This window comes from Homo sapiens, chromosome 1, assembly GCF_000001405.40.
Source record: "Homo sapiens chromosome 1, GRCh38.p14 Primary Assembly".
NCBI lineage: Eukaryota > Metazoa > Chordata > Mammalia > Primates > Hominidae > Homo > Homo sapiens.
In genome coordinates, this window is record NC_000001.11 from 44,843,469 (window position 1) to 44,845,436 (window position 1,968).

The following is a 1,968-nucleotide window of genomic DNA, read 5'->3' on the forward strand; positions in this document are numbered from 1 at the left end:
CCGGAGAGGCGCAGCGCCGGCCAAGTGTAAGTCCAGAGGCTTACGCTGAGAAAGGGCCTTTGCGGGCTCTGTTAGGGATACACTTTTTTTTTTTTTTTTAAGACGGGGTCTCACTCTGTCACCCAGGCTGGAGTGCAGTGGCTCCATCTCGGCTTGCAGGCTCCGCCTTCCAGGCTCAAGCCATCCTCCCACCTCAGCCTCCCGAGTAGCTGGGATCACAGGCATGCACCACCACGCCCGGCTTTTTGTATTTTTGGTAGAGAACGGGTTTCGCCATGTTGCCCCGGTTGGTCTCAGACTCCCGAGCTCAGGATATCCGCCCGCCTCAGCCTCCCAAAGTGTTGGGATGACAAGCGTGAGCCACCGCGCCCGGCCTAGGGCCACAATTTCTTTTTCTTTTCTTTTTTTTTTTTTTCAGGCTTAATTCACTTTATTTTTCTTGTATAAAAACCCTATGTTGTAGCCACAGCTGGAGCCTGGATCCTCTGCGCGGAGACTCTGGTGTGGGTCTTGACGAGGTGGTCAGTGAATTCCTGATAGGGAGACTTGGTGAATACAGTCTCCTTCCAGAGGTCGGGGGTCAGGTAGCAGTAGGTCTTAGAGATGGCATCAAAGTGGGTAGGGCCACACTTTCTTTCCGACCCAATCAAAGCCCAAGATTTCTTCTGTTCACTCTTCCCGGCTTCCATTCTTGCCCTCTTCAGTCCACTCTCTCCACTGAGACCAGAGTCATTTCTCTAACATGCAAATCTGATAGCTCCAAAGCACAAGGCCCACTTGGAGCACAGGGCCCTGTGTGATCTAGCTAAAGCCTTCTCTCCCATAGTTCCCTCACATCAGTGTTCCCTCGTTCCTGCCTTTGTACATGTTTTGGTCCTTTTGTCTTGGCAGATAATCTTCAAAAACTGAACTTGAATCACCCCCAAAACCCACCTTTTTTTTTTTTTTTTTGAGGCAGGATCTCCCTCTGTTGCCCAGGTTGGAGTGCAGTGGTGCCTTCACAGCACACTGCAGCCTTGAGCTCCCAGTCTCAAGGGATCCTCCCACCTCGACCTCCCAAATGGCTGGGACTACAGGTGTGCACCACCACACCTAGCTAATTTTTGTAATTTTGTATAGACAGGGTTTTGCCATGTTGCCCAGGTTGGTCTCAAACTCCTGGGCTCAGGTCATCTGCCCACCTGGGCCTTCCAAAGTGCTGGAATTATAGGCGTGAGCCACTGTACCCAGCCTACCCCCTCTTTGAAACCTTCCTTGATTCATGTCTCTCTCCTGGCAGATAATTGCTTCTTTGTGCTCTGCATAACAACTCAATTTATATATGTATAATTGCATTTATGACACAAAAACTTATGTACTTGAAAGTCTGCCTTCTTCACCAGACAATAAATAGGTGCTTAATAATTGTTGAGTGAGTCACTAAGAGTTGCAGAATTCAGGGTGTAAAGGATTGGAAATTGGGAAGAATAGAGGCAATAGTCCCTCTATTAAACTTTCAACTATCCTATCTGAGTGTGCTGTTTCTATTGGGTTCCTGATTGATAAACCTCAAGTGGCAGAGTAGGGTAAAATCAATATTCCAATATGTAAAGTTTGAGAAAGAGAAAATGAATCTACAATAAGCTAATTTTTCTAACACAACTACTATTATCTCTGGCAAATTTCTTGGTCAGTTCTTCCAGACTTAAAAAAAATCATTCCATCATAAATATTTCATGTTACTATGTAGTTTTTGTAATCAATCATTTGGAGAATATCCTTAGGACAGATTCCCAGAAGTGGGTTGTTTGGGTCAAAGAGTATGAACATTTTTATGGCTCTTGATACACACTGCTCAACTGATTTTTTGAAAGCTTGTGCAAATTAACATCATCTCTAGAGCCTCAGTCCTGGGGAAGAGGAACATTTAGGTTGAAGGGGTGAACACCTAACAGGTTTGCCATTTCCATTTGTCCATTCACCCAGAAA